Genomic DNA, 23,896 nt, shown 5'->3' on the forward strand with positions numbered 1-23,896 from the left:
GGGGGTAAGAAAATGAGTAAATACAATCTCTGTCCTTAAGCTGTTCCCCAATAATGATAGCTAGAAAAAGTAGAGATTATTGAGTAAAAGCATGCACAAAGCACCACAGGAACAGAGAAGAAGAATCAACTGACTCAGTCTGGGGGCATCAGAGAAGGTTTCATAGAGAAGGAAATGTATCTGCTAGGTTTGTGTGGCAAATACCATCAACTGCTTACTCATAATTCATTCACCCCTTCTTTCTTGCTCATAGACCTTCATACTGTTCAGGGTAACATTATACCCAGTTCAATGTTCACTTTCACAGCTTCCCATGCACTTGAGGTTGATCATATAATATGATTTTGGCCTATGAGACAATGAAAGTTGTTAGAAATTTCTGGGAAAGCTTTTCCTTTCTGATAAAAGTGGGAAAAATAGGCTGGGCACAGTGGCTAACGCCTATAATCCTAGCACTTTGGAATGCAGAGGTGGGAGAACTGCTTGAGCCCAAGAGTTCGAGGCCAGCCTGGGCAACATGGCGAGACTCTGTCTCTAAAAAATATAAAAAATTAGCCAGGTATGGTGGTATGTGCCTGCAGTCCTAGCTACACGGGAGACTGAGGTGAGAGAATTGCTTGAGCCTAGGAAGTCAAGGCTGTGGCGAGCCATAATCGCACCACTACCCTCCAGCCTAGGCAACTGAGTGAGACCCTGTCTCGAAAAAAAAAAAAAAGAAAGAAAGAAAAAAAAAAAAGGTGGAATGGTGAATATAGCCGGCATCAACCTTCCCCTCTTCTTGCCTCGAATGTGAATATGAAAAGCTTCTGGGGCTGGAGCTGGGTGTGGTGGTTCATGCGCGTAATGCCAACACTTTGGGAGGCCAAGACAGGAGGATCACTTGAACGCAAAAATTGAAGACCAGACGGAGCATAGCAAAACCTTGTCTCCACAAAAAAAAAAAATTTTTTAATTAGCCAGGCATGGGAGCACATGCCTGTAGTCCCAGTTGCTTGGGAGGCTGAGGCAAGAGAATCACTTGAGCCCAAGAGTTCAAAAGCTGCAGTGAGCTATGTTCACACCACTGCATTTTAGCCTGGGTGACAGAGAGAGACCCTGTCACACAGGCAGAAAAAAGGGCAGAAAAGAAAGAGCTTCTGTAACCATGAGGCTTTCATTGACATCATTTAAAAAAAAAAAAAATGAGGCAACAGTATGACCATAAAAGCCAACAACAAGGATTCACTGAATAAAAAGACAGAATCTCAGTTCTTGTTTACATGGTTGAGCAGCTGAGCCAACCCCAGCAACCACCAATTGTGTACTTCTTGCTAATATAAGAAAAAGAACCCCCTATTTGTTTAACCCACTGCTGATTAGGGTCTCTACTACATACAATGAGATCCATTCCTAACTAACAGTGTTAAAGGATGAGAAGAAGATAACCAGGCAAAAAGAAAACAAGGAAGAAGACTGCAGGCAATGGGAACCACATACACAAAGGCAGAAACAGATAAAGAGGCTGGCATATTTAGGAAAAGGGACATGTTAATGCCATAATCCAAGAGGCCTGAATGTACATTTCCAAGGAGGCCTTACCTGCTTCATCCACAGTGGTACACTTCTGGTACATGGATGTACGGAGAGTAGGTGTCCGAACATTCAACAGCCTGATCTTGTCAACTCGGGAATCAAATACCCGGAGTACAGGGTCTTTATCATCATCATCATGACACATTATTTTGTTGTCAATGAAAGATGCAAACATCTGGGTCTCCAGGAATCTTGAGAGGAAGGGCAGGTAGGGCTCAGGCTGATCTGACAGAAAAGATGCCTGGTGGGACCAAAAAGAAGCAGTAATTGACAGGGAAAAGGGTAATGTCAATGTGCCCAAGGGATCCAGTAGGTTAATTATTCTCTGAGGCTGCCTAGGTCTTTAAGAATACCAAGCTGCAAAATCTCTACATTAAAAAAAAAAAAACCCACTCATGTAAGTTCAGGTATCTTGAAACTTTGACACTGGAACAAACTCACTTGGGTAACCTACTGAGTCAACCAATCTTCCCAGAATCCTGATGTTCACTCTACATGTCTATCTTTGCCTTAAGAGATCCCTTTGGCTGAAGGTAAATCGTCTGATAATAATAATCAGCACATCTATTCATAAGCAACAAGACCTATTTTATCAACATCAAATGGACCATAAACTTGTTTCCAGCATATGATAATCTTCCATTACTTCTTCGAGTAATTTTCCATTACTTCTTCAAGACATAACTGGCAAGTTCTCATTCCTCACCACCTCCCAAGCAGGATTACACTCACTTTATCAAAGTTTTGCATTTGCTCCCTGTTGGTAAACCAGGATTCCTTATCCTGGCTGGGTTGGATGACAAACACCTCATAATCTGCAAACATCTGAGTGAAACGATTTGCAAAAACTTCCCGGATCTGAATGTTTAGCTGGTAAATCCTGAGTTCTTCTTCATCACACTGAACTTTGAGATCCTTATTGCTGCTGGGGTCTTCACGCACTTCCAACTACAAAAAAAGAAAAAGCAGTTGAGAACACATACACTTTTTCCTTTTAACCCAAGGAATGCAATTCCTGATTTTTTTATCTGATTTTTTTTTACAGTGCTAATTTACTTAGCAGGAAATGATGAGAACAAAAGAGGAAAAACTGGAAAAAATAAATAAATAAAAGGAAAGGGACTCAGACACAGAGGAGAGAAAAGTCAAAGAGTTTCACTTAAAGATATCCAACAACTCAATGAAAGTGGAGATAAGATCTTTATGGGCAGAGAGAGATTCTGCCATGAAAGAAAAGGTGCTAATTATCTCAAAGGTCAGGGAGAAAGGAAGGAATGTGGGAGGTCAATTTAACAAACCAACAAGGTTAAATTCTGGCTCTCTTGATTTTTTATTTTTTCCCTCATATCACTTTCCTTCTTTCTGCAAAAAAACCTTTTTTTTTTTTTTTTGAGACAGAGTTTCGCTCTTGTTGCCCAGGCTGGAGTGCAATGGCGCCATCTCGGCTCACCGCAACCTCTGCCTCCCAGGTTCAAGTGATTCTCCTACCTCACCCTCCCCAGTAGCTGGGATTACAGGCATGCGCCACCACGCCCGGCTAATTTTGTATTTTCAGTAGAGACGGGGTGTCTCCATGTTGGTCAGACTGGTCTCGAACTCCCAACCTCTGGTGATCCTCCCACCTCAGCCTCCCAAAGTGCTGGGATTACAGGCGTGAGCCACCGCATCCAGCCCAAAACACCTTTTTAATCTCACCAAATATTTCTGTTCCTCTTTAACTGCCCATGATTTTTGAAAAATATCTAGTCTACTAAGCAAAAAAAAAATCTGCTCCACTAAAGCAGAAAAAATGAAATATTTCACTAAAAAACAGCCCAACAAGATTATTACATTGGCCCATTGGTTTATAAGTAACTTACGAAAGTAATTTAACAGTGAGAATTCAAGAGGACTAGATTCTAGGCTCAGCTCAGCTACATATTAGGCATTTAATCTTGGGCAAAACACTTAGGCTCTCTAAGCCTTGGTTTCTTTGGCTATAAAACCTGTTCTATCTGCCTTAGGTTGCTGTGAAACTCAAAGGGCAATGGATCTAAAAGAGATCTGGGCCTGGCACGGTGGCTCACACTTATAATCCCACCACTTTGGGAGGCAAGGCTGGAGGACTGCTTGAGCCCGGAAGTTTGAGACTAGCTGAGCAACATAGTGAGACCCTGCCTCTACAAAAAAAAAATAATAATAATTGGGTGTGGTGGCATGCACCTGTGGTCCCAGCTACTTGAGAGGCTGAGGCAGAAGGATCACCTGAGCCCAGGAGATTGAGGCTGCAGTGAGCCGTGACCGTGCCACCACACTCCAGCCTGAGTGACAGAGTAAGAACCTCTCTCAAAAAATAAAAGAGGTCTGAACACTAAGATTACTATCATGGTCTCTCCAATCACTGTGCTGTAGTGTTCACATAGAATGATGGCAGACTCTCCCTGATGTTCAAAGCGGAAGCTACTCAGATTTAGATTAAAGTAGCATTTACTAGGATAACATCTGCCAGATGGAATTCAGAGTCCCCCATACAGAACATTCTTTCACTGCTCACAAATATGAGTTGTCCAGAACTGGGTGCTTTCTCATCCCATACCTTACTTCACCAGGACAGCACCCTAGCACAGATCACACGTGTCACAGACTCATATACACATCTTACCTTTTCCAGGCTCACCCCAGTTCTCTTGACCAAGGCTTGCAGCCGGGCAATAGTTTCATTCTCCTTAAGAAGCTCGTAGGAATGCAAAGGGGAGCCAGCAATGTTCCCATTCCTCTTGTCCGAGACAAGCTCAGAGGCCCGCAGCCTCTTCAGCTTGGAGGCACTCTCACTGCAATGAAGATTCCCTTCAGGGGGAATTCCAAATGCCATGAGAATCTCAGAGACTTCCTGGACAAACTCCAATTTGTTGGGGAACTGTGGCAAGTCCTCTGGCAACTCAATGAAGTGGTTGTCAATGTCCACAAAGCAGAGGTTAGCCTGGAAGTCAAAACAGGATGAGGAGTATGAATAACTCCAGAGCATTACAGGAAGAAGTTTTAGAAAGGTTAGTGAACAAGAGGGCAAAAACAAAACACCTGAAATGGCTATATTTGAGATATGGTATAAGGAAGATAGGGCTCAGAAATAAGACAGACTTGAGTTCCAATATTACCCTGCCACATTCTCGTTGTGTGACCTTAGGAAAGTTACTTAACCTTTCTGATTCTATTTCCTTAGCTGTAAAATGGAGATAAAGAGATAAACAATGTATGTTAGAGTGGTGAAGATTTTATAATGTCATAGATGTTTAGCATCAAACACAAAAGTCTCACACATGGTAAACACTCATTAAATGTTTGGTAAAGGCCAGGCGCAGTGGCTCACATCTGCAATGCCAACACTCTGGGAGGCTGAGATGGGCGGATCACTTGAACCCAGACTGTTGCCCAGACTGGTCTGGGCAACATGGAGAAACCCAGTCTCTACAAAAAAATGCAAAAATTAGCCAGGGATGGTGGCATGCACCTACAGTCCCAGCTACTTGAGAGGCTGAGGTAGGAGGGATCACCTGAGCCCAAGAAGCTGAGGCTGCAGTGAGCCATGATCACACCACTGCACTCCAGCCTGGGCAACAGAGTGAGACTCTGTCTCAAAAAATAAAAAATAAATTCCTGGTGAATTTGTGAATTCTATACTCAGTGAAAAGAACCCTAGGAGTGAGTTCAAAAAGTCTAGGTTCCAGATTTGACTCTGTTATGATCTCCCTCTATGACCCTGGATATACCATTCTCTCTTTCTGAGCCTCAGTCTTAATTTGTAAGGTTTAGTGGCTGATCTTTGTTCTTTCTGTGCTTCCTTCTGGATTTAAAATTGCTTCTGAGAGAATGTAAAGAGATAGTGCTCACACACTGCTGATGGGGTAGATAATCTGGATTAACAAACAATTTAGGGGCCAGGAGCAGTGGTTCATGCCTGTAATCCCAGCACTTTGGGAGGCTGAGGCAGATCACCTGAGGTCAGAGGTTTGAGACCAGACTGGCCAACATGGTGAAACCCCATCTCTGCTAAAAGTACAAAAAGTAGCCAGGTGTGGTGATGGGCACCTGTAATCCCAGCTACTCGGGAGGCTGAGGCAGAACAATTGCTTGAACCCAGGAGGCAGAGGTTACAGTAAGCTGAGATTGTGCCACTGCACTCCAGCCTGGGCAAGAGAGTGAGACTCCCTCTCAAAAAACAAACTAACAAAAAACCCCCACAGTAATGCAGCAGTATCTAGCTATCCCTATTTTACAGACAAAAACTGACACAGAGAGGTTAAGTAACATGCCAAAAGTCACACAGCTATTAACTAGTACAGCTGGGACTTGAACTCAGCTACCCTGACTTCAGTCATATGCTTAAGCTCTTAACCATCTACTCTTCTCCTCTTTAGCGGTCTTGTACATTTAATTTAAATACTTTGTAGTTTAACAATGGTATACTATTCCACCATAAAAATGAATGAAATCCTGTCATTCATGGCAATATGGATGAGCCTGGAGCATATTATGTTAAGTGAAATAAGCTAGGCACAGAAAGATAAATACCACATGTTCTCACTTGTATGTGGGAGCTAAATATGTTGATCTCACTGAAGTAGAGAATAGAAGAGTGGTTACCAGAGACTGGGAAGGGTGGCAAGGAGGAGGAATAGAAAGAGACTGATTATCCAATACAAAATTATGGCTAGACAGGAGGATTGCAGTCTTCTATAGCACTGTAGGGTGACTACACTCAACAAACATTTGTTGTATTTTTTCAAGTAGCTAGAAAAGAGGATTCTGAATGTTACCAATATAAATAAATAAAAAAGGTTTGAGATGATGGATATGCTAATTACCATTTGATCATTACATACACCCCCATTTGATCATTACATACATGTACTGAAATATACCATACCCTGTAAATATGTATAATTATGTGTCAATAAAAATGTGTGTGTACATATATATTTAAATACTTTGTAGTTCTTGTCCCTGTTGGAATGTTCTTGCAGGTATAAATTACAGAAGCCTTTCATATTTGTATATTTATCTTATACTCATGAATCTGTTCTAGCCAAGACAACATTGCCTTCATTGCAGCACATTATTAAATGCTTAAGGGTGCTTCTGTTCCATTCACGTAACAGAGATAACAATATTACCAATGTCATAGACTTGTTTTGAGGATTATATAACAATAAATGTCAAGGATTTAGCACAGTGCCAGGCACATAGTACATAATAAATGTTAATCAACATTTATTATATATATGTATGTATGCCTTTAAATTTTTACATATTTTTAAATTTCATACAGGTTTTTAACTTTTTTTTTTTTTTTGAGACAGAGTTTTGCTCTATTGCCCAGTCTGGAGTGCAGTGGCACAGTCATGGCTCACTGCAGCCTTGACTTCCTGGGCTGCCAAGTAGCTTGGACTATAGGCACACAACATCACACCTGGCTAATTGTTGTTGTTGAGACAGAGTGTCGCTGTGTTGCCCAGGCTGGTCTTGAACTCCTGGCCTCAAGCAATCCTCCCACCTCAGCCTCCCAAAATACTGGGTGGGATCAGGTGTGAGCCACCACACCCAGCCAGGTTTTTAAATTTTATACAAGGATTATCATTCCATAAGCAGTCTTTTGGTAGTAACTTCAATCAACATTAGGTTGAGATTCAACCATTTTGTTGTGTGTAGCCATACTTCATTCATTTTCACTCTTCTATAATATTCCACCAATATGAATATAACATAATATATTGATCAGTTTTCCTGTTAAAAGACATTTGAGGCCGGGCGCCGTGGCTCACCCCTGTAATCCCAGCTACTAGGGAAGCTGAGGCAGGAGAATCGCTTGAACCTGGGAGGCAGAGGTTGCAGGGAGCCGAGATCATGCCATTGCACTACAGCTTGGGCAACAACAGTGAAACTCCATCTCAAAAAAAAAAAGACATTTGGGCCGGGCACAGTGGCTCACACCTGTAATCCCAGCACTTTGGGAGGCCGAGGCGGGCGCATCACAAGGTCAGGAGATAGAGACCATCCTAGCCAACATGGTGAAACCCTGTCTCTACTAAAAATGCAAAAAAATTAGCCGGGCGTGGTGGCGGGTGCCTATAGTCCCAGCTACTTGGAAGGCTGAGGCAGGAGAATGTCATGAACCTCGGAGGCGGAGCTTGCAGTGAGCCAAGATCGCGCCACTGCACTCCAGCCTGGGCGACAGAGCGAGACTCCGTCTCAAAAGAAAAAAAAAAAAGACATTTCAGTTGTTTTTTGTTTACTGTATTTACACTGATTGTTATTACATGTTTTCTTGGACTCCTGCAAGATTTTATATATGGGTATATCCTAGGAGTAGAACCACAGTGTTGTAAGGTATGCAAATATCCCACTTTAGAAAATGATGCCTAGCTGTATTCCAAAGTGGTTGCAACAATTTACATTTTTAACCAGCAAACTAAAGTGATCCTACTGATCCAAATCCCTCCCAAAACTTGGTATTATCACACTTCTTGAAATTTGCCAACAAAATGAGCATAAAATGGCACTGCATCGTGTATTTGATTTCACTTCCCTGATTAAGAAATTAAGAGAAATTAAGAAATGTGCATTTTTTACGCAATGCCTGTTCATATCTTATGCCATGTTTCTATTGGATTGCTTATCACCTTCTTACCCACTTGCAGTTCTTTATATTCTGTTGATATTAACTCTTTGTAGGTTATAAATGTTATGTATTTCTTCAGTTTTTATCTTTAAGGTGTCTTTTTCTTCATTTAGAAAATCCAATTTATCAGGCTGGGCACAGTGCCTCACGCCTGTAATCCCAGCACTTTGGGAGGCCAGGTGGGTGGATCACCTGAGGTCAGGAGTTCGAGACCAGCCTGACCAACATGGCGAAACCTCATCTCTACTAAAAATACAAAAATTAGCCGGGCATTGTGGCACACACCTGTAATCCCAGCTACTTGGGAGGCTGAGGCAGGAGAATCATATGAACCCAGCAGGCGGAGTCTGCAGTGAGTCGAGATTGCGCCACTGCACTCCAGCCTGGGCGACAGTGTGAGACTCTGGACCAATTAAAAAAAACCCCCAATTATCAATCTTTTATTTTCTTTGATGGATAGTGCTTTTTATAACTTGTTTACAAAACTCCTTCCCTAGCCAGAAGTCAGAAAGGTATTTATTAATTTTTTTTTCCACAAGATTTAAACTTGTGCTTTTGACATTTAACTTCTTAATCCATCTGAAGTTGATTTTGTTATGGTTTACTTTTTTCCCCTACAGATAAGCAATTTTTCCAGCTCCATTATTAAATAGCTCTTCCTTGAGTGTGTATCCCTATTGTATATCTAAATGTTGTTTCATTGATCTGTTTCTCCCTATGCCAACAAGTCATATTCTAAAAGAAAACACTGCAGGGGCTAGGGGAGGGATAGCATTAGGAGAAATACCCTAATGTAGATAACAGGTTGATGGATGCAGCAAACCACCATGGCACATGTATACCTATGTTACAACCCTGCACGTTCTGCACATGTATCCCAGAACTTAAGATGTATATGTGTCTGTGTGTGCTTGTATATTTGTGTATCTGTGTGTCTCTGTACGTGTCTGTGTCTACGTGTGTGTTGTTCCTGTATGTGTGGTCTGCGTCTGTGTGTGTGGCTGTGTATGTTATCTCTGTGTCTTTGTGCCTCTGTGTGAGCTGTCTGTAAATTTGTGTGTGTGTATCTGTGTCTGTGTTGTCTGTGTGTGTGCGTTTTCTGGATGTTTACGTGTCTGTGCATGTGTGTCTATTGTATTTCTGTGTGTTGTCTCTGTGTGTCTGTATTGTCTCTGTGTCTGTGATAATAAAAAATAAAAAAGAAGACACTGAAGGGTAGGCGTAAGTCCAGCTTAATATAACTATTTCATAAACTCTCAATCTATTAAAACTGCATGTTTAACAAGTCCATGTGTGTATCATTCAATAAACATTTGCTGAGTGCATAAATTACTCTGTCTACCAATCTATAACTAAGAGAGCTTTCCCATGTCAAAAATTCAAAGACTGTAAGAATCACTTTAAATTTCACTTTCTAGAGCTCCTCCACTGGATAACAACTTTGAACCCCACCTAGTCAAAAGGCCAATAAATGTTTAACTTAACACCTAAAAACACGCTACATTTTGCTTATTCCTTTAAGATTTTAAAATTATGTCATCAGGCTGCGCCATTAGAAGAGATAAAGACAGAATTAAATCATCTAGTCATGAAGATCACCTGCCTCATAAGCCCTGTCCATACACCTAACAAAACAAGCCACTGTGACCCACGAAAGGCACACAATGCAATCATTTACCTCCTCAGTTACCCTCTCCTCAGAAGAAAAAAGCAGTTTCTCCAATAGGAAACACAGAAACAGCTAGAAATACCTACATCTACTAAACAATGCTTGGTTGGCTTTTCTCCCACTACTGTGAACCAAATATAGAGTCTGTAAAGAATCTTTAAAACTCCAAATGCTGTGTCCACATTTGTAGAAACCTTTGGTCAGAGGTGGGTAGAGAAGAAATATGCCCATGCACATTTCAGAGATGAATTAGATTAAGATAAGATAGGACCCTCTGAGTAGGCACCACTAGCCATTCTTTGCAAAAATTGGTTGAAGTTAATATACCCTAGAGACTGAGTTTTAAAAGAGCCGGGTGCGGTGGCTCACGCCTGTAATCCCAGCACTTTGGGAGGCTGAGGCGGGCAGATCACTTGAAGTCAGGAGTTCAAGACCAGTCTGGCCAACATGGTGAAACCCCGTCTCTACTAAAAACACAAAAAAAATTAGCCAGGCATTGCGGTGTGTGCCTGTAATCCCAGCTACTCGGGAGACTGAGGCAGGAAAATTGCTTGAACCCGTGAAGCAGAGGTTGCAGTGAGCTGAGATGGCACCACTGCACTCCAGCCTAGGTAACAGAGCAAGACTCCATCTCAAACAAAAAAAAGAGAAGAAAGAATTGAGCTAAAGGAGGGAGTGGTAAAAAAGCAAATTACTACACTCATACAATAGTCAATTACTAGACTCATACAATAGCCTCATGCTGTTTCCTCCCATCATACAGAGGGGCTCTAGCACACAGAAGCACTTACAAAATACTAGGAACTCCTCATATATCCTCCTTCCTCAGCTGACGAGGGGTTACTTCTTACCTAACAGCTTTGGGGAGAGTAGCCTGGAAGAGGTACCGAATGCCAAGTGATCAGTTTTCCTCTGTTAACCTCCTGCCTTGTTGAGAGGGATGATGGGTAGACTTAGCTGCTCTGAGGTAGTGATCACATGGATCCCCCAAATCCCAAGAAGTCTCCCAAATATCTTCCGCTCAAGGTCACAATGATCTTTCCCAATGCTCAATTCCTAATACCAAAAAACAGCCAGCCTGTTTCTCCAGTCTATCCTCATGTTATTCATTGAAAAGGAGTTCAACACACAGATGACTGGGAAAAAGCTATTGAAGGAGTGTCCTGAGAAAATGGGGGAAAAGTAGGAAAAAGGGGTCCAAGATAGAAAAAAATGGTACCCCTTTCTTTACTCTAATATCCTTTGCTTAATTCTGTAATATAGCTGTGGATGAAATGCCTCCTTCCTGAACTCAGACAACGAAGCTCCAAAGAGAAGCCTAAGACAAAGGATGCCTCACAAAGGCAGCTCAGTACCTTCACTTGCTCAGGGCCAGCTGAGCTCATGTGTTGGTGCAAAAAGGAACAAAAAGCTTTTTACAGACTTCTGATGCCCAAAGACGGCAGTAACTGATGAATTCTGATTTGGTGGGCTAGGAAATGTACACTCTCTGTCCCTCTGGAGAAAGTCCTTTTTATAAACCAAGCTTGCCCCACCTCACTACCCTGATGATGCCCCCTTATACGGTCCCAGGTAAATTTCCCCAGCCCTGCCGGATATGGTTTGGCTGTGTCCCCACCCAAATCTCATCTTAAATTCTCACGTGTTGTGGGAGGGACCCAGTGGGGGATAGTTGAATCATGGCGGCAGGTCTTTCCCATACTGTTCTTGTGACAGTGAATAAGTCTCAAGAGATCTGATGGTTTTATAAGGGGGAGTTTCCCTGCAGAAGCTCTCTCTTTGCCTGCTGCCATCCATGTAAACATGATTTGCTCCTCCTTGCCTTCCACCATGATTGTGAGGCTTCCCCAGCCACGAGGAACTGTTAAGTCCATTAAACCTCTTTTTCTTCCCACTCTCAGGTATGTCTTTATCAGCAACATGAGAAAAGACTAACACAGTTAATTGGTACCAGTAGAGTGGGGCGCTGCTTAAAAGATACCCAAAAATGTGGAAGCAACATTGAAACTGGGTGTCAGGCAGAGATTGGAACAGTTTGGAGGGATCAGGAGAAGACAGGAAAATGTGGGAAAGTTTGGAACTCCCTAGAGACTTGTTGAATGGCTGTGACCAAAATGCTAATAATGATATGGACAATGAAATCCAGGCTGAGGTGGTTTCAGATGGAGATAAGGAACTTGCTGGGAACTGGAGCAAAGGTGACTCTTGTGTTTTACTGAAGAGACTGGCGGCATTTTGCCCCTACCCTAGAGATTTGTGTGACTTTGAACTTAAGAGAGATGATCTAGGGTATCTGGCAGAAGAAATTTCTAAGCAGCAAAGCATTCAAGAGGTCTCTTGGGTGCTGTTAAAGACATTCAGTTTTAAAAGGGAAACAGAGCATAAAAGTTTGGAAAATTTGCAGCCTGACAATGCAATAGAAAAGAAAATCCCATTTTCTGAGGAGAAAAGTCAAGCTGGCTACAGAAATTTACATAAGTAACAAGAAGCCAAATGTTAATCCCCAAGACAATGGGGGTAAATGTCTCCAGAGCATATCAGAGGTCTTCACGGCAGCCCCTCCCTTTACAGGCCTGGGGGCCTAGGAGGAAAAAGTGGTTTCGTGGGCCTGACACAGGGTCCCCATGCTGTGTGCAGCCTAGGGACTTGGTGCCCTGCATCCCAGCTGCTCCAGCTGTGGCTGAAAGGGGCTATCACAGAGCTCAGGCTGTGGCTTCAGAGGGTGCAAGTCCCAAGCCTTGGCAGCTTCCACGTGGTATTGAGCCTGCAAGTACATGGAAGTCAAGAATTGGGGTTTGGGAACCTCTGCCTAGATTTTTGCAGAGGTACGGAAATACCTGGATGCCCAGAGAGAAGTTTGTTGCAGGGACAGGGCCCTCATGGAGAACTTCTGCTAGAGTAGTGCGGAAGGGAAATGTAGGGTCAGAGCCCCCACACAGAGTCCCTACTGAGACACTGCCTAGTGGAGCTGTGAGAAGAAAGCCATCATCCTTCAGACCCCAGAATGGTAGATCCACTGACAGCTTGCACTGTGTGCCTGGAAAAGCCACAGACACTCAACGCCAGCCCATAAAAGCAGCCAGGAGGGAGGCTGTACCCTGCAAAGCCACAGGGGTGGAGCAGCCCAAGACTATGGGAACCCACCTCTTTTTTTGTTGCTGTTGTTTGGTTTTTTTTTTTTGGTTTTTTTGTTTGTTTGTTTGTTTTTGAGATGGAGTTTCACTATTGTTGCCCAGGCTAGAGTGCAATGGCACAATCTCAGCTCACTGCAACCTCCACCTCCCAGATTCAAGCAATTCTCCTGCCTCAGCCTCTCGAGTAGGTGGGATAACAGGCTTGTGCCACCATGCCCAGCCAATTTTGTGTTTTAAGTAGAGATGGCGTATCTCCACGTTGGTCAGGCTGGTCTTGAACTCCCGACCTCAGGTGATCCACCTGCCTCGGCCTCCCAAAGTGCTGGGATTACAGGCGTGAGCCACTGTGCCCAGCCAGGGAATCCACCTCTTGCATCAGTGTGACCTGGACGTGAGACACGGAGTCAAAGGAGATCATTTTGGAACTTTAAGATTTGACTGCCCCGCTGGATTTCAGACTTGCATGGGGCCTGCAGCTCTTTGTTTTTGGCCAATTTCTCTCATTTGGAATGGCAATATTTATCTAATGCCTGTACCCTCATTGTATCTAGGAAGTAACTAACTTGCTTTTGATTTTACAGGCTTATAAGGAAAGGACTTGTCTTGTCTCAGATGAGACTTTAGACTATGGACTTTTGAGTTAATGCTGAAATAAGATTTTGGGGGACTGTTGGGAGGCATGATTGGTTATAAAATGTGAGGGCATAAGATTTGGAAGGGGCCAGGGCAGAGTGATACGGTTTGGCTGTGTCCCCACCCAAATCTCATCTTAAATTCCCATGTGTTGTGTGAGGTACCCAGTAGGGGGTAGTTGAATCATGGGGGCAGGTCTTTCCCATGCTGTTCTCGTGATAGTGAATAAGTCTCACAAGATCTGATGGTTTCATAAGGGGGAGTTTCCCTGCACAAGCTCTCTCTTTGCCTGCTGCCATCCATGTAAGACGTGACTTGCTCCTCCTTGCCTTCCACCATGATTGTGAGGCTTTCCCAGCCACATGGAACTCTAAGTCCATTAAACCTCTTTCTTTTGTAAACTGCCCGGTCTCAGGTATGTCTTTCTCAGCAGTGTAAAAATGGACTAATACACTGCCCCAAAGCTTCCTTCTAAGACTGTAGTTAAAAGATACCACATACTTTAAAGATGTGCATCAAAATATCAAAAGTAGTTATCTCTGGGTGGTAAAATTTGAGGTAATTTTAATTTTATTGTTTATGCTTTTGTGCACTGTTAGCATTTTTTACTATGAACATGTCATTTCTGAGACACCCCAAAGTCGTCTTTCAAAGCCAGCTCTCTTCCCCTAGTCTAAGGTTTTCCACGGGAAATACATAGGCTCAGATACCCCAGAGCTTATCTGCTAAAAATCAAGGTAGAAAATATCCAGCTATATAACTGCTCCCACAAATGTGTGACCTTCAGAAGACAGGTGTGGATGAACTAGGACTCTGAAACCCAAGAACCACTTATGAAGCACACACAGTTAATTCTACTGTTCCACTGTCACCACTCCTTCCCAAGCAGACTACAGGGGAGCCAGAAGCTCAGATACAAAGTTTATAGCAGGGATGGGGAATACAGCAACATGGAGGCTCCAATAGCCCAGAACAGAGGGAACTTTTGGGTTTCTTTTCTGTTTTTTTTTTGAGGTGGAGTCTCACACTGTCACCCAGGCTGGAGTGCAGTGGCGCGATCCACCCAGGTTGGAGTGCAGTGGCGTGATCTCGGCTCACTGCAACCTCTGGCTCCGGGCTTCAACAATTCTCCTGCCTCAGCCTCCCACGTAGCTGGGACTACAGGCGTGCACCACCATGCCCAGCTAATTTTTTTGTATTTTTAGTAGAGATGGAGTTTCACCATGTTGACCAGACTGGTCTCGAACTCCTGACTTCAGGTGATCTGCCCGCCTCGGCCTCCCAAAGTGATGGGATTATAGGCGTGAGCCACCGCACCCGGCCAACTTTTGGGTTTCTTAAACAACCCATGGTTTCTTAAACAGTCCCATTAAGAAATCTGTTGATCCCTCAGAGGTCCCTTTGTATAGCCGTATACATGAAGCACATAGGGAACAACGTTGAAAAATCCTAGAGAGATCAGAATTTGCCCCAAGTATAAAGAAAGCTGATGCCAAAGAGGAAAATAAAACTGAGAAATCTGGCTTCTTGCTTAGTGGCCTATGTATTAAAGTATGCACATAGCTTGCCTCTTTGGCCTTCCACCTTCAACAATTTTTTGTTATTGTTCTTTTTGTGACTTTACAGAATCATAATTAGGTTGACTAAGTTGTATCAATATTAAATAGACATTTGTTTAAAGCAAACAACAAAAAGCTCTTCTTTCTCCAGTCGACTCTTCAGGTTTATGTATGGTACAGTAAGCAAGTACACAAAAAACCCCAATATTATCTCAACTCAATGATTTTATCCATCATTTAGATTTTTTTTCCTTAATTAATCTTGTTCCACCCCAAAGAGCACAACGCTCTATAAAGTCAAAGAAGAAAAAAGGGCAGAAATGGAAGAAGCTACAAGGAAGACAAGGAAGACATTTTGATTCTAAAACTAAAGAAGAGAGAAAAGAGCAGAGATGCATTTGACTATAATTTAAATATCACAGACATGGTCTAATTATCAGGGTATTCATCAAAGATGCTGCCCAGTCATGACCAGTGACACAGTGCTGCCCAGATCCAGTTCCATGAGAATGCTCTCTTCTTGGGGCCCCTCACTTATATTCCTCACTTATATACAAAAATCTCTACCCCCGGCCGGGCGCGGTGGCTCACGCCTGTAATCCCAGCACTTTGGGAGGCCAAGGCGGGTGGATCATGAGGTCAGGCGTTCGAGACCAGCCTGGCCAACATAGTGAAACCCCGTCTCTACTAAAAATACAAAAATTTAGCCGGGTGTGGTGGTGGGCACCTGTAATCACAGCTACTTGGGAGACTGAAGCAGGAGAATCACTTGAACCTGGAAGGCAGAGGTTGCAGTCAGCCAAGATTGTGCCACTGCACTCCAGCCTGGGTGACAGTGCGAGACTTCGTCTCAAAAAAAAAACAAAAAAAAACAAAAAAAAAACTCTACCCCCAAAAAAATGGTGGTGGAAGGAGGAAACGAAGAGTCATGGTGACACCAGTGTATGTATACTCCAAAGTCTTCTTCCCAGGCCTTTCTAATGACTAAGAAATTCAAAGTAGGAAAGCACTTCCCTGCAGGTAGTTTCACAACAGCCACAAAGTAACATACCAGTTCTGCTGGTAATTCTAAAAAAATTAAAAATAAAAAATCTTATTTCTAATCATGCTTTAAATCTACTTTAGAATGGAATAGGAAATACATTATTTTAAATCAATTCTTTTCTTAGCCAGGCACAGTGGCTCATGCCTATAATCCCAACACTTTGGGAAGCCAAGGCAGGAGGATTACTTGAGCCCAGGAGTTCGAGACCAGCCTGGGCAACATGGTGAGACCCTGCATCTACAAGACATAAAAAAACAATTAGCTGGGCATCGTGGCACACTCCTTTAGTCCCAACTACTCAGGAGGCTGAGTCAGGAGGCTCACTTGAGCCCAGGAGTTCAAGGCTACAGTAAGCTACGATCATGCTACTGCACCCAGCCTGGGTAACACAGCAAGACCTTGTCTCTTAAAAAGCAAAACAAAACAAAAACAATAGCATAAATACAGAAATTACAATGTACATATGTCAGTTGATAAAGATAATAAGTGTCTCTGGGATGACATAAATTGAACTAAATATTCATTGTTTTTACTTTTTTCCTGAGAAGTTATTCATAATCACCAAAATAGAAGAAAATAAACTTGGTAACATCATGCATGCTGGGTTCATCCCAAAGCCCTTCTCTCCCCAATCCTGGATTGGGGCCAGAGGCACCAACACTCAAGATCTCACCTCTTGAGGCAGCTCCAGCTTTGACCGGTCATCCAGGCCATTGGAATGCAAACCCATCAGGTATGGAACAGGAGCATCTAAGAAATGCAGGAGAGAAGCTGGGAGAATAGGGACATAGACATGCTGCCACTGGAAAGGAAACATGAGAGCTGTAATCGTCTCCGCCACAGTCATCAGTCTCTGGTAATCTGGGTCAACAACAACAAAAAAAGCACACACACAAATCAGTCAAAAACAAGGCACTTGCTTTCCAAACAGTAAGTTAAAACTTTCAGTACAATTTCTTATTTAGAAACGATCACGATAAACTTCAGCTAGGGTATGCTCAATGTGATTCCCTTGAGGGTGTCCAAGAGACAACCAAGAGACCCTTGTGGACCACAAATTGAAATAAACCTACACACACAGGTCCTTGCTCATAATAAAATCTAATATGGAAATACAACAAAAATAATTAATGACATCTTGCTCCAAATACTACCACAGAATGTTAAGTAGATCCTCTTAAGAAAGGGGGTAGGAGAACTGAACAAAAAGAAAGACAGTGGTCCTGGGTCTCCATTCAGCATGGAAGCAAAAACATGCTCAGTTCTCACTAAGATACATCTGCAGAACATCCTATAAGGAGCTTATGTGAGCTTTGCCTGCAAAGTCAAGCACAAAGAACCACCAAGCATGCAGAAGCTGGTTTTCCACACTAGCCAAGTCTGCTCTACACCTGGCAACCTTTCCTGAATGAGAACAGCATAAAAATGTTATTATAACGTTTCAATAAAAAGCTTCCCTAGAGGCTGGGCATGGTGGCTCACGCCTGTAATGCCAGCACTTTGGGAGGCCGAGGCAGGTGAATCACTTGAGGTCAGGAGTTCGAGACCAGACTGGCCAACCAACATGGTGAAACCCCATCTCTACTAAAAATACAAAAATTAGCCGGGCGTGGTGGCATGCACCTGTAATCCCAGCTACTTGGGAGGCTGAGACGTAAGAATTGCTTGAACCTGGGAGGCAGAGGTTGCAGTGAGCCGAGACTGCACAGCTGCACACGCCAGCCAGTGACAGAGCTAGACTCCTTCTTAAAAAAAAAAAAAAGGCTTCCCTAGAACTTGAAAGACTCAGAGGATTGACTTTAGCTACTCAAAACTCTTGTTATAGGTCAGAGATCATAGCCTAAAGGGAAGGCTCGTGGGCTTGTGATCATATTTGGCTTATCTTCAGAATGTAATTTCTAGGCCTTTTTTTTTTTTGTGACGGGGTCTTGCTCTGTTGCCCAGGCTAGAGTGCAGTGGCACCATCTCAGCTCACTGCAACCTCCACCTCCTGGGTTCAAGTGATTCTCCTGCCTCAGCCTCCCGAGTAGCTGGGATTACAGGTGCCCACCACCGCACCTGGCTAATTTTGTGTTTTTGGTAGAGACGGGGTTTCACCACCTCGGCCAGGCTGGTCTCGAACTCCTAACCTTGTGATCCACCCGCCTCAGCCTCCCAAAGTGCTGGGATTACAGGTGTGAGCCACCGCGCCCAGCCAGCCTTTTTTTTTTTTTTTTAATGACTAATAAATATATTGGTACAGCCAATAAAATTGACTAGTTAAAACTTTTTTTTTTTTTTTGACGGAGTTTTGCTGTTATTGCCCAGGCTGCAGTGCAATGGCACAATCTCAGCTCCACAACCTCCACCTCCCGGGTTTAAGCGATTCTCCTGCCTCAGCCTCCTGAGTAGCTGGGATTACAGGCATGCGCCACCACCCGAGCTAATTTTGTATTTTTTAGTAGAGACAAGGTTTCTCCATGTCAGGCTGGTCACGAACTCCCAACCTCAGGTGATCCGCCTGCCTCGGCCTCCCAAAGTGCTGGGATTACAGGAATGAGCCACTGCGCTTGGCCTAAAACTTAAATTTTACAAATTACTATTTGTAATGATATGATGATATGATGGTTTCAGGCATTTAAGGACAAAGCAGAAATATGCATTTTTAAATCATATGAGTAAAATCCTTCTGGAATGGCTGGTTTCAAATGAGCTGTCATAGGAATTAAAATGATGTTATGCACTAAAAACCCACTCCACCATTTAAATCACAGCTTGGTTCATAAAGTAGTTGTAAGTAACAAAAAACTTTCTAGGAAATGAGGAAGTCTCAGTACAAAGGGAACAGAAGCTGAAAAGTATTAAGGTAGAAGTTTAGCAAAACATCCTACATTTGCTCACTAATAAAGCTTTGAAAGTTGCCTATCACCTTGCTCCTAGCTAATCAAAGAAGAGCATAACCTGTAGATAACTTTACTAGTGTGATAAATATGTATCTATTTGGTCTTTTCCCCGGTTCCTGAAACACACAGCTCCTAAAACCCTTGGAAGCTACTGGGCAGTAAGAATATCTTTTAAGTGACATTGTCTCAAAAAACAAAAAAAAAAGGATGTCTTTTAAATAGGGTGTAATGGCTCAAACCTGTAATCCCAGCACTTTTTTTGTTTTTTGAGACAAAGTCTCGCTCTGTCACCCAGGTTGGAGTGCAGTGGCGCAATCTCGGCTCACTGCAACCTATGCTTCCCAGGTTCAAGCGATTCTCTTGCCTCAGCCTCCCCAGTAGCTGGGATTATAGGCACGAGCCACCATGCCTGGCTAATTTTTGTATTTTTAGTAGAGAAGGAGTTTCATCATGTTGGCAAGGGTGGTCTCGAACTCCTCACCTCAAATGATCCACCCACCTCGGCCTCCCAAACTGCTGGGATTACAGGTGTGAGCCACCGTGCCCGGCCCATTTTTATGACTTGTATGTGCAGATAAAGACATCAGACTTGGAATCACTCTATAAATAAGCCCCCTCTAAACAAACTACAGGGCAGCTCCTACGTATTTATGAACAATTATAAACTATCCTGGGAGGTTGCAAAACAATGATTAGTATGCTCCCATTTGTGTTCTTTTTGAAAAGTATATATATAGTATATACACGGCTATATCTACAAGTAAGCAGAAAACAGTGGTAACCTCCCTGAAGGAGAACCAGGGTGCAGAGGCAGAAGTTACACACTTCGCTGTACACTCTTCTAATGCTGTGAATTTCTACCCTTCATTTTACACTCCTGAAATGCCTTTTTTCAAATTTTATTTTATTTATTTATTATTTTATTGGAGACAGGGTCTTGCTCTGTCGCCCAGGCTGGAGCGCAGTGGTGGGATCTCTGCTCACTGCAACCTCTGTCTCCTGGGTTCAAGTGATTCTCGTGCCTCAGCCTCTGGAGTAGCTGGGATTACAAGTGTGTACCACCACACCCAGCTAATTTTTGTATTTTTAGTAGAGATGAGGTTTTATCATGTTGGTCAGGTTGGTCTTAAGCTTCTGATCTCAAGTGATCTGTCCTCCTTGGCCTCTCAAAGTGCTGGGATTACAGGCGTGAGCCACCACACCTGGCCTCAAGTTTTATTTTAATATACCATACAGATTTCATAGTGTATATGTATAATTTAAAGAATATTAAAATTAATACACATATATTCAACACCTAACATAAAAAATAGTACATTAGGCCAGGTGTGGTGGCTCATGCCTGTAATCCTAGCACCTTGGCAGGCCAAGGTAGGCGGATCGCTTGAAGTCAGGAGTTTAAGACCAACCTGGCAAGAATAGCAAAACCCCGTCTCTACTAAAAACACAAAAATTAGCTGGGTATGGTGGCACGTGCCTGTAATCCCAGCTACTAGGGAGGCTGAGGCAGAAGAATCGTTTGAACCCGGGAGGCAGAGGTTGCAGCGAGCCAAGATCGCGCCACTGCACTCCAACCTGGGCAACAGAGTGAAACTCCATCTCAAAAAAAATATATATATATAGTGTATTATTAAAAATACTGGAAAAGAGGGAATTTTTAAAAATTAAGAGATTACTTCTCAGGGATAGGATACTAGATCAAAGAAAAAGGGGCTGAGTGCAGTGGCTCACGCCTGTAATCCCAACACTTTGGGAGGCCAAGGTGGCCAGTTCACTTGAGGTCAGGAGTTTGAGACCAGGCTGGCCAACATGGCAAATCCCATCTCTGCTAAAAATACAAAAATTAGCCAGGTGTGGTTGCACGTACCTGTAGTCCCAGCTACTTGGGGGGCTGAGGCACAAGAACTGCTTGAACCCAGGAGGTAGAAGCTATAGGGGGCTGAGATCGCGCCACTGCACTCTAGCCTGGGCAACAGAGCAAGACCCCGTCTTAAAAAAAAGTGAGTTGGGGAGAACCTTCAACTTTCTCTGCATTATTTGTGCACATATTATTTATTTGTTTTTAAAAACTATTATTTTCATTAAGGATACACAAAAAATTGGATATCCAGCTACTATATGAAGAAAAGAGAGGAAAATATTTGATTCCCTTTGGAATTGTTTTAATTATATGCCTTAAGCAATCATTATTTTTACAGTAAAAGACTACTTTAGATAGTAAAATATCATTGGAGATTTCTTACCAACGTCCACTTAGCCAACTCACTTTACCGATTGATTTTCCCCACTCTGAGTAAAGCATACATTGCTCCCACTCATTTGTTCCCAAACCTGTGCTAGCTGAACTTACTACTGGATTATACAACGTAACCAAATATTGTGTAAATAAATGGTAAAATCTGAGGGCAAAAAGAAAGGATGTCTGTTTCTCTGGAAACAAAATTAAATGCTTTTAAAAGACTCAGTAGTACAAAGTCACTAAAAAACACTGTAATTGAATTAGGCATATCATGAAGCAATTAAGAATAAAAAACTAGGGAACACTACAAAAATCTAGAAGTAGTCTCTGCTCATGTTCTTTTGCAAGGTTCTTTATCACTCCACTTTAAAAAAAAAAAAAAAGTAACCAGGGCTGGGCGCAGTGGCTCACACCTGTAATCCCAGCACTTTGAGGCCGAGGCGGGTGGATCACGAGGTCAAGAAATCGAGACCATCCTGGCCAACATGGAGAAACTGCATCTCTACCAAAAATACAAAAATTAGGTGGGCGTGGTGGTGCACACCTGTAGTCCCAGCTACTCAGGAGGCTGAGGCAGAAGAATTGCTTGAACTCAGGAGACAGAGGTTGCAGTGAGCCGAGATTGCGCCACTGCACTCCAGCCTGGCAACAGAGCAAGACTCCACCTCAAAAAAAAAAAGAAAAAAGAAAAGTAAAGTAACTAGGAAATCTAGTCAATGTATTATGGGTGTGGTTTATGCAAGAAGTGCAGATATCTGATTTGTGAAGTCATAATCATGAGAAATGCCTGGACCCTTCGTCAAAGATTAGTGACTATACAGTTATATGTTTTAAGTTAAATTATTTAGGCCAGGTGTGGTGGCTCATGCCTGTAATCCCAGCACTTTGGGAGGCTGAGGCTGGTGGATCACCTGAGATCAGGAGTTCGAGACCAGCCCGGCCAACATGGTGAAACCTCATCTCTACTAAAAATACAAAAATTAGCCAGGTGTGGTGTCCTAGCTACTCGGGAGGCTGAGGCAGGAGACTCACTTGATCCCAGGAGGCGGAGGTTGCAATGAGCCGAGATCATGCCACTGCATTCTAGCTTAGGCAACAAGAGCAAACTCCGTCTCAAAAATAATAATAAATAATAAATAGTTTAACTATAAAATTAATTGTACATATCATTTTTAGGATTCTGTGACTTAACTGACTTTTTTGGTTTCCAATCAACTACTCTATCAGGCCACTTCAGATAAAGAGCTTCTGTTCTGCATATAATTTTTAAATAAGGCCAGGTGCAGTGGCTCATGCCTGTAATCCCAGCACTTTGGGAGGCCAAGGAAGGTGGATTGCTTAAGCCCAGAGTTCAAGATCAGCCTGGGCAACATGGCAAAACCTCATCTCTACAAAAAATACAGAAACTAGCCAGACTCGGCAGTACATGCCTGTAGTCCCAGCTACCCAGGAGGCTGAGGTGGGAGGATCATCTGAGTCTGGGGAGGTCAAGGCTGCAGTGAGTCATGATTGTGCCACTGCACTCTAGCATAGGTGACAGAATGAGACCCTGTCTCAAAAAAAGTAACAATAATTTTTTAACAACCAATTAAAAATTATGCTATTAAAAAAACACTAATTCTATATGGACTAAAGAATAAATATTATCTAAAAGTAAATAAAATGACCTATACCAAAAAGAAAACACTGCTTAAAACTGCCAATTCAGCATTCCAAAGGGTTACACTTTCAGAATCTTACAATTCAGCCTGCATTCCTTTTCCCTATGTAACACCTCTTTTCTATTCAGAGGGCAGGACATGCAGCAGGCAAAATCAACTGCAGTGGTGATAGCTTGTTTTTGGCCAGAGTGATTTTTATCCATACAAGGAAGATGTCCTTGGATCATTAATATAACTACTTCAAGAAAACCAACCTAAATTGTTTAAAGCACTCTATTAACAACAAAAAGCATAATTTACATCCAATGAAAAGTAATCCACTCCACTGTGGCCTCAGCCAGGCTCAGCAATATCCAGGAATTTCTGAAAAAAGCTTTCTCTTGTCCATGCTGAGCCTGACTTTAGGTCCTAAGTTAAATTCAATTCTACATACTAACCATCTCAATTACATTCAAACCTCCTAAAATTCTTATTATGGATACAGTAACCCATATTCTAGGAAATACAAAAGAAACTCAGATGGAAGAATGTTATTTTTCCATTATGTTCATCATATTTGTTTCAATCATCCTTTCCTTGCCTCTAAACACCCCCAATGCCTAAAAGCCTACTGTATCTTCTAACACTCTATATAGTTTGGTTTCCTCCTCTCTGTTCTGTTCTAAACCAGAGAAGTTCCTCCCTATTCAACTAATTCTCCATTTCAAAGTATTTTTATGAAGCTCCAGCCAAGAAATAGCTAGGAAAGCAATATGATTTGTCCAAGTCTATATTTCACCCAGAGAGAGGAGGCTCTAACTTCGTATCTTAAACTAGAAGTTGCAAAGTGAAGCCTCAGGAACTACAT

General features: G+C 42.6%; 1 protein-coding gene across 5 annotated transcripts in view; it reads right to left on the reverse strand.

The window, feature by feature from the left end:
• DENND5A (DENN domain containing 5A) overlaps positions 1–23,896 on the reverse strand; it is a 126,526-nt gene that overhangs the window by 37,729 nt on the left and 64,901 nt on the right. For all 5 annotated transcript variants that reach the window (NR_145966.2, NM_001348749.2, NM_001243254.2 and 2 more), the window contains 4 exons: positions 16,941–17,128; positions 4,214–4,531; positions 2,305–2,520; positions 1,579–1,813 (listed from right to left, as the gene is read on the reverse strand). Coding sequence is in view for 4 of the 5 variants with exons in the window: in NM_001348749.2 (NP_001335678.1) it covers positions 1,579–1,813; positions 2,305–2,520; positions 4,214–4,531; positions 16,941–17,128 (957 nt within the window). In the remaining variant the exon portion in view is untranslated. The remainder of the gene's footprint in view (positions 1–1,578; positions 1,814–2,304; positions 2,521–4,213; positions 4,532–16,940; positions 17,129–23,896) is intronic.

Source organism: Homo sapiens, chromosome 11 (genome assembly GCF_000001405.40).
Source record: "Homo sapiens chromosome 11, GRCh38.p14 Primary Assembly".
Lineage (NCBI taxonomy): Eukaryota > Metazoa > Chordata > Mammalia > Primates > Hominidae > Homo > Homo sapiens.